Source organism: Homo sapiens, chromosome 9, assembly GCF_000001405.40.
Source record: "Homo sapiens chromosome 9, GRCh38.p14 Primary Assembly".
NCBI lineage: Eukaryota > Metazoa > Chordata > Mammalia > Primates > Hominidae > Homo > Homo sapiens.
In genome coordinates, this window is record NC_000009.12 from 87,099,531 (window position 1) to 87,113,572 (window position 14,042).

The 14,042-nt window shown below is 39.8% G+C and overlaps 1 long non-coding RNA gene across 1 annotated transcript; it reads left to right on the top strand.

The window, feature by feature from the left end:
• The first annotated feature begins 2,642 nt into the window (after positions 1–2,642).
• LOC124902197 (uncharacterized) lies at positions 2,643–3,140 on the top strand. The gene is made up of 2 exons (XR_007061639.1): positions 2,643–2,833; positions 3,008–3,140. It is a non-coding gene; the product is annotated as an uncharacterized LOC124902197 (long non-coding RNA).
• The last annotated feature ends 10,902 nt before the right edge of the window (positions 3,141–14,042 follow it).

Below are 14,042 nucleotides of genomic sequence, written 5' to 3' on the forward strand. Positions count from 1 at the left end.
GTAATTTTTTTAACTACTAAACACCTGTTACTCATCCAAAAGCCAAAAGAATTGACGGTTATGTAAGCTGTTTCTTCACTTTGGCCTCTAGAGATTACATCTTGGTACAGATAGGAAATGCAGAAACAGTAAACAAACAAAAGAAACAAAAATATCTAACTACACATGAGTATTGGGAATTTGTTCAGCTCTCATGCTCAGCTTCTGACTCTCAAAGCATTTCATAGATTCTGCAGACTTGTAGCCTGTTTTTATTTTTTTTCTCAGAGCCAAGCCCAACAATTCTACTTTCCTTTCCTCTTTCTAAGGTAAAAAAGCAAAATTGAGACTGTAGGCAAAAATAAAAATAAAAAATAAAAATCAACAAATAAAGAGCGCTTCATACAACAAATAAGGATACTTGGCATAGAGACATTAATATAATGCACTAAGACTATGAATCAGTCTTCCAGTCGTTACCACCAACCCAGAGGGAAAAGGTGAGACAAATGGTTTTCATAACTCATGATAGAACATAGAAAGGGTATTTGTGGGTGGAAAGAGCCCTGGGCTTGGATCCAGAAGAACTGAGTTGAATCCATTTATTCATTTGTGACCTCTTAAGCATTATTTAACTTATTAGAGTTTATGTTTCCTCTTCTGCAAAATGGCTAAATCTTATCTGCTTCCCTGAGACGTTCCAGGGTTGAATGAGTTCATTTATCTGTCTACCTCCTGCTTTCTCTTACCTAATACTTCCTCACCTACTTTTGACTCCATTTGCCTCATAATTTCCCAAGAAAAATCATCAAATGATTGATATATGCAAATGTGACTACAAGTGAGATCACATTATTTTTAAATGTGAAAGGATTAGGATTTAGCAGGCAAGTAGATATTTTAAAAGAACTTACTTCTTAGACTGACAACCGCTGTTTATTTCGCTTTATCAAAACAACTGAACCAACCCAGTGACCAAGAAAAATATTCATGTCAGAAAAAATTGTGGAAGATTTTGAAATTGGCAAAAAAAGATAACTGGGTGTTGTGCCCAGAGTACCCTTATGGGATATCTATGTCTTTTATTTTGAACTATTTTACAACTTTGTAAGCTGTAGATGATTGACGGCAATGCAAATTAGTCATGTCCAAAGACAAACACAGTCTCATCATTGATAGAAGTTATGTTCTATAAAGTTGCCATGAACACTGAATTAAAGAATGTCTACTTCCATAAAGCTCTAAAATACTTTTGCAGGGATGTTGGCTTTTTTTTTTTTTTTTTTTTGAGACAGGGTCTCGCTCTGTCACCCAGGCTGGGGAGCGGTGGCACCATTTCGGCTCACTGCAACCTCCACCTCCCTGGTTCAAGCAATTCTCATGCCTTAGCATCCCAAGTAGCTGGGATTACAGGCATGAACCACCACGCCCAGGCTTAACCTTTTATACTTTGTAATACATTCTCCTTTTCTTTTACAGTAGCAGCTTTCTTGTTATCTTATGCCATATGACAAATACGTAGCAGGTCAATCAGAAAATACAGATATCATGAAGATACACTATAAAAATGATACATACTCTGTGTAATTTATTTTAATTCAAAATATACACATTTACATTTGTTTACCAACATTTGATACAGGGCCAGGATTATTCTTTGATTTTGGAGATAGCTGATTGAAGTTTTGTATTGTCTTTCATACATGAACCACAACAAAAATAAGTATTTTGTAGCTCCCAGCTTCAATTTCTTCTTAAAGGAAGCAAGATCTTAAATCAAAACCAAGAAAACCATGAGAGAGCAGAATCTCTCTGGATTTTGAAGATTTTTTTCCCCAAAAACTTTACAGTTCTCCTAGAACTGTTCAAAGCATTAAGTTTAATTTTTATAGAGAAAATTATTTTTCTAAATTTAATTTTCATTGATTTATATTTAATTTAATTAGACAATTAACAAGGACAACTGACAGAGACAGGTTTGGGAACAAATTTAGCTGATTCTGCTTAAGCATTCAACTCATATGGTAAGAAAATAATTCATAGGATTCTTAAGTAAAATCCAGTACAGCAAATATTTAACAGACTGTGGGCAGCTATTAGTATGCTTAGAAAAGGAACCAAAAGCAGGTAATTCACGGTGAGTTAGATTGCCCTGAAGTGGTTGTTTGTTTGTTTGTTTGAGATGGAGTCTCGCTCTGTCACCCAGGCTGGAGTGCAGTGGGGCGATCTCAGCTCACAGCAACCTCTGCCTCCTGGGTTCAAGCGATTCTCCTGCCTCAGCCTCCCGAATAGCTGGGAGCATGCCACCATGCCCGGCTAATTTTTGTATTTTTAGTAGAGACGGGGTTTCACCATGTTGGCCATGCTGTTCTCGAACTCCTGACCTCGTGATCCTCCCGCCTTGGGCTCCCAAAATGCTAGGATTACAGGCGTGAGCCACCGTGCCCGGCCCAAAGTGTGTTTAACTACCTAGGAGTTTAACTACTGCGGAGTGACCAAGGAGCCCTGGCAGACTAAAAGGAGATACACTAAGAGCTAATCTAATCCCAACTGGGGATGTGGTTTGGAAAATCGCTCAGCCCCTTGCTGTCTCAGTTTTATCACCCATGAAAAGTGAAGTTTGAGCTAGAATAAAATCATGTGCGTCAACTTCATCTCCTAAGTCAATCGTTTCTTAATTTTTTTTTCCATTGCTTGTCTTATTTTGCTTTGCAGATTGCCTAAAATTGTAAAATGCTTCGTATTGTTTACATATAGCATCAATGACAGTGTTGAACTTAAGCTGATGCTTTATAACTCATTTCCTGGCCTCTGAGTTGGCAGTAGAAGTGGAAACCATTGTCCAAGGCCTTTGGTAAGAGTTTTAAACAGTTGCATTAGACAATGGGCTGGCAATATGTGGTAATGGGGACACCAAGTGAAAGCCTGCAGCTCTCAGCTTTGCCCTTGGCCCCCATCAGTAATCTGGGGAGAAAACCCTGAACCAAGGAGTCTGCGTCTGATGCCTTTTCTCTTTTGCTCTGTGCAGGAGTGTGTCAGTGCTGACCCTGCAGCTACAGAAATGACCAAATCAAACCTGTTGTACTGAGGGTAAAGCTCAAATGGACCCTGTGACTACTCCTCCTCCTTCCCCAATAAACCTTTGTTCCTGACCAGAAAAATCCGTGCTGCACTCATAGGAGGGAATATCTTGTTATACACAGAAGAATATCTTGTTATACCCCAAATCATGTGCAATGACTGTACCAAAGTCTACTATGGATAGCAGATAGTTGGATATCCATAGGATATCCATAGTAGACTTTGAATGGTACAGTCATTGCACATAATTTGGGGTAATTCATCTGAGTGGCCGTAATTATCATGGATAAGTGATGTATGGTATAAGAAGATATTTGTTTGTCTCATATGCATATCTTTTTTCCTTCGAGGTTTTTAGGAATATGAGTGTAAAATTAGTGCTCTGAAGTCAGCAATGAGTCATTACCTCTTTGCCTTCATCCATTTTTGTGTTGCTAGAAAGGAATACCTGAGGCTGGGTCATTTATAAAGAAAAGAGAGGCCAGGTGCGGCGGCTCATGGCTGTAATCTTAGCACTTTGGGAGGCCGAGGCAGGTGGATCACAAGGTCAGGAGTTCAAGACCAGCCTGGCCAACATGCTGAAACCCCGTCTCTACTAAAAATACAAAAATTACCTGAGCGTGGTGGTGTGCACCTGTAGTCCCAGCTACTCGGGAGGGTGAGGCAGGAGAATTACTCGAACCTGGGAGATGGAGGTTGCAGTGAACCGAGATGGTGCCACTGCACTCCAGCCTGGGTGACAGAAAGAGACTCCATCTCAAAAAAAAAAAAAAAAAAAAAAGAGGTTTATTTGTTTCACAGTTCTGCAGGCTGTATAAGAAGCATGGCACCAGCATCCGCTCCTAATGAGGGCCTCAGGCTGCTTCCACTTTTGGCTGAAGGTGAAGGAGAGCCATGTGCAGAGATCTCGTGGTGAGGGGGAGGACATTAATCTAGTCATGAGAGATCCACCCCTGAGACTCAAACACGGGCCATAAGGTGGAACCTCCAACATTGGGAATCCAGTTTCAACATAAGATCTGAAGGGGACAAATATCCAAAATATAGCACTCTTCATTCTCCCCAGCACATCCCCCTGCTCCCTTCCCTTAATCAGCACTACTTGAACTGAAGTGGATTTTGAGCCTTTAACATTGTATTTAAAAAAGATATTTGTGTTCTCTGTTCTAAATTTTAAGATCAACTGAGCATGACATTTCAGGTATCTTTCTCTTACAAAAACAAAACGAAACATGAGAAAATGAAATTAAGTTTCTTTTATATTCCCATGTGGTTGTGATTTTCTTTTAAAGCAGGTCAATTGCCTTTAATAGAAAACTTTCCCAATTCCTGTTAAAAAAAAAAAAAAAAAAGGAGGGGGGAAATGTTCCAAATCTCAGTCTAAAGTAGCACTCAGAAACAGATAATAGTGCAAACTACATGAATAAGATTAAGTGTTCTTTTTTTTTTTTTTTTTTTGAGACAGTCTTGCTCTGTCACCCAGGCTGGAGTGCAGTGGCACCATCTCCTCTCACAGCAAGCTCCACCTCCCGGGTTCAAGCCGTTCTCCTGCCTCAGCCTCCTGAGTAGCTGGGACTACCGGTGCCCGCCACCACACCTGGCTAATTTTTTGTATTTTTAGTAGAGACAGGGTTTCACCGTGTTAGCCAAGATTGTCTCGATCTCCTGACCTCGTGATCCGCCCGCCTCGGCCTCCCAAAGTGCTGGGATTACAGGCATAAGTCACCATGCCTGGTGAATAAGGTTAAGTTTTCTAGTAGCCATAAAAAGAAACAGGTAAAATTAATTCAGTAATATATTTTATTTAACTCAATATACCCAAAATATCATCATTCCATCAGGTAATCATTATTAAAAATATTAATGAGATATTTTACTTTTTTTCTCCTTCTTTTGCATTAAGTCTTTGAAGTCCAGCATGGGTTTTACACTTCTAGCACATCTCATTTGGGATTAGCTACATTTCAAGTACTTATTAATAGTAGCCACCTGTGGCTAGTAGCTACTATATTGGGTATTGCCGGCCTAGGGATTCTTTTTCACATGCTGATACCTAACTTTTATTTTATTTCTATTTTGTCACTTTGTTTTAAAGGACAGGAACCATTTAGAGCTCAAGTCTTATGTCAGATGGAAATTTTTCCCAGTTTCTACGTATTCTATAGCAGTTTCTATGAGGTATAGAATTTTGTCAAATGGCCACTATTTCTCATTCTGCCAGGGACACCTTCCCCGAGAACTTCAGTATGTATTGAGAGTGAACAGTGAGTCAAAGCAAAATTACTTAGCCTTATTAATTCCAGTTTTAACCTCCCAAAAACCAAATTTTTCAAATAAGAATTACATACATTATCTAATAGTAAAAATTTTTCAGGCTGTCTTATTCAATATCTCTAAATATGCACAGAGCATTCAATAATTTTCTAGCACCTTGCAAATTGATACAAGCCTAGCTATTTGGTGGAACTTTCAAGGTGAAGAATATGACATGTTACATTAGTTCCTTATGTGTGGATGCTGGAGATGACAACTACTGATAGCTTTCCTCACCCGCCCTGTGGGAGGGGGGGCCTTCCTCCTCAGATTTCCCAGATTATTAATGGAATTTCTTCTTTTGTAAACTCCACACTGACCCCACAAATCTAGTACCTGCACATCTCTATCTCATTATCTTTATTATAACATGATAACATCATATCTCCATTATAGGATTTGGGCAAGTTAAAAAAAATAACAAAACCCACTATGATTCATTATGTTGCCCCTTCCACCAGTCTATGAGCTCCTCAGGACAGAAACATTCCTTATTCTTCACTATGTCTGAGTGAGCCCAAGTAGCAATGCCCAGTGCATGGTTGATGCTCAGCCTTTCAATTGAAAGCAGGAAGTTTTGCCCTCTTCATTCACCTTTGACTCTTACATGTCATATGCCTTCATCAAGATCCAGGTCAGGACACATTTTCTCAATACTACCTGTGCTGGTCAATCTCACCACAGCTGATACCTTCCGTTGAATTGCCTTCATTCAACAAACAGCCATGGGTGCCTACTTTAAACCAGGCACTGTGCTGGGGAAGGCGGTAAAAACACAGATGTGTTCTTAAATTCAAGAGGTCGGAGGAAACGTAGACAAAAATCAGTGCATTGAGTATTGTGCTTTTGAAATACCTTCCTGTGTATTTTTCCTTCTGAGCAGCCTGTTTTGTTTAATCTGTGGTTTCTTTCTGTCCAGTCCCTTCCACTGTGAAGCCTCTGGAAGCTTAGAGTCTCAGGGAGGTGATCACAGGTACTGCTTGGAACAAGCATTTCTAAGGGTAGGGAGGAAAAAGAAGCCCCATTCATGGCCGAGGAAGTATAAAGTTGAGAGAGCGAGAGAGAAAGAGGGAGAGAGAGATGAAAGAAAAGAGGGAGGAAGGGATGGAGGGAGGAAGAGAGGGAGGGAGGGGAGAAAGAGATATCACAGCGGGCCTTGCCTTTCTCTGTCACAGGCAGATCCTAGGAGCTGCTTTTAAGTCTTGTCTATGCTAATTGGAAGTCAGAATTTAAACTAGACTGGACTAAGTTTTAAAATATAAATGACTAAATATTTACTGGATCTCTCTAAGCTATCTAGTTTCTGGCTACCCACACAGATGGTGACTCAATGAACAAAATGAAAGCATTCACTGGAAATATTAAAACTGGTCCATATTTGTACAACATGAAGTTGGCCCTCCTAGTCAAACCCACTACATATGGTGAGGGAAAAGTTCCCAGGTACTTCCTATATGGCTAGAGTGACTTTTTAAAAACTACATTTCTTTCAGAAATCACCACTTCTTTTTAAAGACCTTATCGGAGGTTCAACTGCGAGTATCCTAGATGCAAGACCATAATTGATTGATTGTTCTAGGAGGTTTCATGCACACAATCTGTTCAACAAATATTTATTGAGTGGGTGAATTTGTCAGTTGCTTGTAAAGAAGAGAAAAAGTCTATTTTTTAAAAGTCAATTGTCTTGGTAAGTTCTCATTAACCATTGTTGCTAATTGTACAGAAGTTCAAATGCAGAAATGCTGGTAATTTGTTTTCATACTTCACCATGAAAGAATTTCTCAAACTCTCTATTGTTGTTTTTTAAAAAAGTCAAGGAATACAAGATACAGATTTTAGAACCAGAAAAATCTGGGCTCAAATTCCAGTTCTGTTATGGAGTAGCTGTGACCTTGATCAAACAATCTAACTACTCACAGTCTTGGTAGTCTCAGCTATAGACAAAAAGAAGGAGGGAGGAAGAAAAAGAGGGAGGGAGAGAGAGAGAGGTAGTGAGGGAGAGAGAGGAAGAAGAAATAAAACATCCTCCTTTGAGGGTTGTTGTTGGGGAAGAAGGATTAGAGACAACTTGAGGAAATATCTAATATGGTTCTTAGCACAAAATGGATAGTAAAAAAAGCTGATAATTATGATTATGATCATCAGTGCTATTGGTTGATTTCTCATCCTTGAAATAACCACATTTTTTTCTGAAAAGATCCAATTGCTTTTTGTCTCTGGTCATTCCTCATATTACCTTCTTTATTGCACTCATTGCAGTTAGGGTCTGAATGACACTGGAGATTTGTAAACTGATCTCTGCCTCCAGGGGGTGGCAGTCTTCCCAGCTCTTCATCATGTCATTCACTTGCTTCTGAGGAATGGCTCAATGGCTCCTCATTGTCCTCAGCAAGAACCTTACTTTCCCAGAGATGGTTTTGGGAGGGGAGGGGTGGGGAGTGGGTGATGAGCATGTGAGTCACAATCTTGCAAGGTATTTTGAAGATACACCACACGGAGACATTCAGAAATAGAATCAATGAAAATTATTAACTACATTAGTCAGTATCCTGCTCATCAGGTGAGCTGTGGGCCACTGTAACTGGAAACACCAAAAAATCATCATAGAAATGTCGAAAATTGTTGAGGATCCTGAAACAAGGAAGTAACCAACTCCAGAGCCAATGTGTAGGGCAGGAACACGAGGGATACTCTGAAGAGGAGGGAGGTTAGGACAAAGTAAGAAGCAGAATCCAGACAAGCCCACAGGAAAGATGGAACTCTCAGCCTCCTGGCCTCTCACTAATTCCTTAATGTGAAGAAACTGTCATTTTGATAATTCCTTGCACAGAATTTGTCTGTCTATATGTTTAGGCTCGAGTTAAACTCTAGTAAAATGTTGATAGTTATCATTGCAAAATGTGGATCAGCTTGTACTGAGCAAAACCCTGCAACTCAGGACTTTATGAAGACTGAGAACTGCTTCAGGTGTTGTCAGAGGAGGGAACCCGGACAGTGTGGCCATTACCTGATGATTCATGTCAACGTTTCAGTACCCAGAAGACACATGATTTACTCTGGGTCCCTCCAGAAGCTGACACTAAGCTAAAGATACAAGTATGAGCACTTTATTTGGGAGGTGAGAGTAGTATACACTGGTAGGGGAGTAGGGATTGGCATAGGGAAAAGAAGCATAGAGTGGAGGATTAAGCAGCTTCCACTGGGTGAACTCTGGGAGCCATGTGGAACCCCTCCCAAGGGATAAAGGACCTGTGGGTATTTATACACCAACTCCAGAGGTCATTGGCTGAGGGCTGCTCCCATGGGGCATTAATTCCTTAGTGCTATTGATGTAAGGCCACCATACTTCCAATTCTTCTTCTAAACGAAATGAAAATTGAGTACAGTTATAGGTGAAGAAAGGTGAAAAAGGGTGATGGGAAGGGAGTGATTGAAACAAAGATGCCACAGCGCCCTAAAGCTACTCCTTCCTCACATCAAAGTCCTGGGCGCACTCCTTTCTTCCCTGCCACACACACTCTACTGCATTTTCAGTGCCTGGTGCACATTAGAAATGCAGAGCTCATCAGAGTGTAATTTTTTCAACACAATGAACCTGCTTATATAGTGGAAAAAAATCTTCTAGAAGATTTTGACAGGAAACTCTTAAAAATTTATTTTTAACTGTGTGAGTCAAAATCTAAATTACAGAGCTTAAGAAAGTAAAGAATATATACCAACCAAGTATTTAAGTTTGTGTGTGCATGCTTATAAACACACCTCTCCTTTCTTATTATGTGAGATTGAGCAGAGATCAAGCACCTGAAGTTCTAATTCTGTCCCAGAAAAGCATTCCCTTCCCAGGCTGTCACATCACATGCTCAGACACCCAAGTGACTCCATCTCCCCAGATGCATGAAAGCCAGTTCTCTCAGCTCATCTTCTCCCTAGCTCCCACCCCTGGAAGCTGTTAGACATTTTGGAAGCTGTGCCTTTGGCTCCTGTCCAAGGAACAGTTATTTCCCACTTGTGGCCCTGAAGAGTTCATGGGAGCCTCCCAAAATATGTTGCTCTCTTCCTAGGAGTAGTTTTTGTCCTGGGAGACCTGAGATACATAAAAATTTAAAATCAGTTTCCACTTCGAGAAGGGAAAATGAGTGATGTATTAATATTAGAGCCATTGTCTTGCTGCTTGCCAGAGCAAAAGAAAACCTCTCTGGCTACACTCAACTGTGTATCCTGGGGCTTAGGCTTCCAATTAATTTTAACATAAGGAAAAATTCTTAACTCATATCATAAGGGATCCTTTATTTTCTGGTTCACACTACCTGTCTCTTGTGTGGAGAAATCCAATATAGCCATGAAGAGACAAGGACTCAAACAGGCCATTCTAACTGATGGAAAGCTTGGACTGTGCCCAATGCAGATGTGTCATCACCCTCTTGGGGAGGTGCTAAGTCCACATACTGGGGCTTGGGGGAAAATGGCAAGATTGCTCCCCAAAATGTCACTTAGTCTTAAAAGGAGTGACTTTAATTCCTGCCTTTGATGGTGGAGTTGTTGAATCCTCTGAAGCATGCGCACACGCACACACACACAGAGAGAGAGAGAGAGAGAGAGAGAGAGAGAAAGAGTTTTCCTTTAAGCCTGGAATTCCTCAGGTTTGATTTCAAACTAGAAGAGAAATTTTTGTTGCAGAGACAGCTTATAGAGAAATCCTCAGGCTGTTTGGGAATTTCAGCACTTTGAAAAATGAGAATGTGTGGAGGGATTGTTTTTCTTTGCCATGTCTCAGTCCTTTTTTTCCCTCCCTCATCCACAATTCCAAAAAGAATACCCTTTTATAAGGTCAAGATTTTCATGTGCTTAGTTTTCATGTCAGATTGTTAAGAAAAAATATAAATTTCTTCATTTTGTATATGCACCATAATTTTTAAAAATACAGAATCTCATACACTTTTGAAACACATAGCTAGAAAAAAAAGCATTATCATATGACTCAGGTCATAAAGGTTAAGGTTGGGAAAAAAGATTTTCCTTGTGAACATAAAGTTCTTTACTGACTGATGATCCCCACATAAGTGGTTTAAAAGTTTCCCACTGTTGCTGAAATAGTAAGTCATGCAAAGATGAGCATAAAACTGGATATTTGTTTTTCATCCTGAAATATGTTCTCCTTGCCACTTTTGACCTTAAATGGAGTTTCTGCTGTCTCTGATTCACTCTGTTTCTTTTGTGCTCTCTGTAGTAATGTGCTGGGTAGCTCAGATGTGACTGTGATACTGTTTTCAAATATCTGTGGCCACAAGTAGTTATACTATTTAATGTTCACAGATTCCATATCCTTTTTTCCAGTACTCCTATGTCTTAAATACAAATTTCTTAAAATATGTTTTTATTAAAAGAACTAGAAAATGATTTTTAAAATGTATGTAAAGGGGATTGCTTACTTAATAGTTCATTTGGTTACCTGAATACAAGGTCATGTGGAAAATCTTCCACTTACCACCTCAATCTCTTCTACCCTGGAGCCCATTCTCATTAATTCTGGACAGTTCTGTGAAGAAAGGGGATAGTGCAAAAGGAGAGACAGAGAACAAAAGATGCTTGAGTTTCAAGGTTGGCTGGCCTGACAAAAGTGTCTAGCCCAATCCCTGCATCCAAAATGTGCATGTGCCTACAACATACCTGGCTTTGCTTAAATACCACCACTGACATGTAAGGGTAGGGGGCTCTCTTTCCTTATACTACATGCAAATGATGGAAGAGTTGTTTTTCTTAGAATCAGGCTAGTTAACATTCACAGGAGATTTTTTAACCCCATTTGACATACAAGTTTACCTGTTGATTAGATTATTTTCTGTCTGTACCTGAGGCCTCTAAGCTACATTTGGACAGAGAGGCTTATGTTTTGTTCCCAGCTTTATTGCAGACACTTTATTGCAGACACATATTGCAAGCACTGTGTTAGTGCTTGATATAGTACGCAAATACCTGTGGAAAATGTCTATGAATGTGCCTCTGCTCATTTCATAGAAGTTCAGGTGTTTGGAGATGGCTACCTAAGTAGTAAAATTAAAGAATGGTGCCTGATGACCATGTTCCTTGGTCATGAGCTATTGGATGCTGGTGGCTGTGACCTACTGATGGGGTCAGCTGAACATTGCATGGCCACATTTTGCCACACCCTGGTCAACAGGTCAGTTGATCTCTTAGATTCTTAGAATTTGGGTTCCTAAATTCTCTGGTGGAGTTCAGAATCGGCATTTCAAAAGAAATTTTCTGGGAAATTATGATTTACAGTTGGTTTCGCACTGACCTAACAAATGTGATTCATGAACCGGGCAGCACTCAGAACCAGAAGAGGTTCAGACAGCCCAGCAGTGTGAGTGGTGAGTTTTTATAGGTCAGATTCAGTTGTAAAGTAGAGCGATCACCTGATTTGGCTACAACCAGGCGTCTGCCATATTTGAGCGTGGTGCGATGAGTTGGCTGCCTGTATTAGGCTGGAACCTGACTGCTTGTGATTGGCTGAAACTCAGCGGTTTGCTATATTCCTAAGTCAGGTTTTGGTTTGTTTTCATATTCAATTAGGTTGCAGTTTCTTACATAGGAACTCAAAGTACAGAGACAGCTGCAGTCTAATGGCCTCCTGCTTATTTAATTTAACATCTCAGTATTATACTGATGATATAAACAGAATGCTGTGGGGACACAAAGGAGGGAACAACAAACTTGCTTGAGGGTAAAATCCAGCAGCTCTAACTCTGAAGCAATGACAATATAGTTAGGGAGAAATCACTCCAGTCACTGACTTGCCTGTGGATCCCATTTCTTTATAATCCCTAGAAAGATGTCTTGGAGGTCTTTGAAGAAACATTTAGATTTGTACTAGTGGAGAAGAAATGAAAGGGTTTTGAAAGCAGAGAGAATAACTAAAGCAAAGTGTGAACATCTTATGTTCATGGATATATAAGACTAGGATGAGGAAGAGTGGGTGCTAATTCTAAGTCAGTTGCCTAACATGCATCATAAATTGCAGAATATGAGCACTTTAAAAAACAATCTATTTAAAAAAAAAAAAACTTGTGGATGTCCCAGGATAATGACTTGGTGCTTTTCCATTTAGGGAATCATGTCTCAGAGTCATTTCTGTGCCAATAGTTTTTGACAAATAATAAAATCTCAAAAAATGTTTGATGAAGGACTATTTTACCCACCTGAGGGAAATGATGATCTTTTTATTTGTAATGAATTAGGCTACATAAAATCTAGGAGATGCTGGTAGTTATCTTGAGACCAGGAAGAACATTTTAAGGGGAAGCTACAATCCAAAGGAAGACAGATCCAACTCAAAGATAAAACAATTCCTGGGGATATTACTGAGCTGCTGAGTTGAGATGATTCTAAAGTCAGAATATAGCCAACACATTCCATTTATTGCATTTTTCTTTCAGCTTTATTATTAGATATTTCAAACCTGAAGAAAAGAATAGAAAAATAATATAAGGCATATTGGTATACTTACAGCCCAGCATTTTAAAACTGTTAGAATTTCTTCTGCATTTTTCTTAGAGAAATCAATCATTAAAGGTGCTGTTGAAATTCTTTCTATAGCATCACTTGATCCAATGTCCCTACCTTCTGGTTCTCTTTAGAATTACCTGCTTTCCAGATGTGGGATGTGCAATTCCCATTATGTTAGGGCCCAGCTGCTGTAACAAAGACACACAATGCTTCAGCAGTTTCTAGAATACATCTTTGTTTGTTACTTAGCCCCAGTATGAGCAATGCAGGAAGGAGAGGCAGTGCTCTCCCACAGGGTCTTCCAGGGAACATCGTTCTTTCCTCTTGTAACTTCATCGTCCCCGGACTGTCATCACCTGCATGATTGAAGCTGAGTCCCTGCCACTTCCCGGTTCCAGATGGTGGGAAGGGGTGGAGAGTTTGAAAGGGGCACATCCATGTCTTAAGACACAAATGCTTAAGTAGCACACACCCCTTCCTTTTGCATTCCGTGGGAGAGAACTTAGTCACCCCACCACAGAGCAGTCATGGGAGAGGAGAAATATGGACTATAGTAAGGCTACTGCATGCCTTACTGGAACTCTATTACAATGGAGGTAGAGAAGAGTGGGTTTTGTAGACAACCAGGAGTCTGTGCTGTTGTACTGTAGCCCATTCCTTGATACTACCACTACCTGCATACACATACCTCAATGCTAGAAAGGAAAATGGCCAACTAGCATAGGCCACCCAAACCCAGACATGCCAAAGGAGTCGCAGTGAATGCAGGCATGCTTCTTTCTCAGCCCAGTGGGGAAACTTCTGAAATCTCATTACTAAATATGATGTTTGCTGTAGTTGTTTCATGTATGCCCTTATCATGTGAAGGCTTCTTTTCAGTTTTGTTTTGCTAAGGGTTTTTAACTTTTTAGTCATGAATAAGGGAAGATTTCCATTTTATGGTTTTTGGGGATCTATTGAGACGATTATACAATTTTTTCACCTTAATCTGTTAATGGTGTGTATTGCATTGACAGAGTTTCTAGTGTTGATCCAGACTTATATTACTGGGATAAACCCTACTTTGTCATTGTATATTTTTACTGCTGAATCCAGTTTTCTGCATTTTATTTAGGATTTTTGCATTCATGATTATAAGTAAGATTGGTCTGTAATTGTCTTTT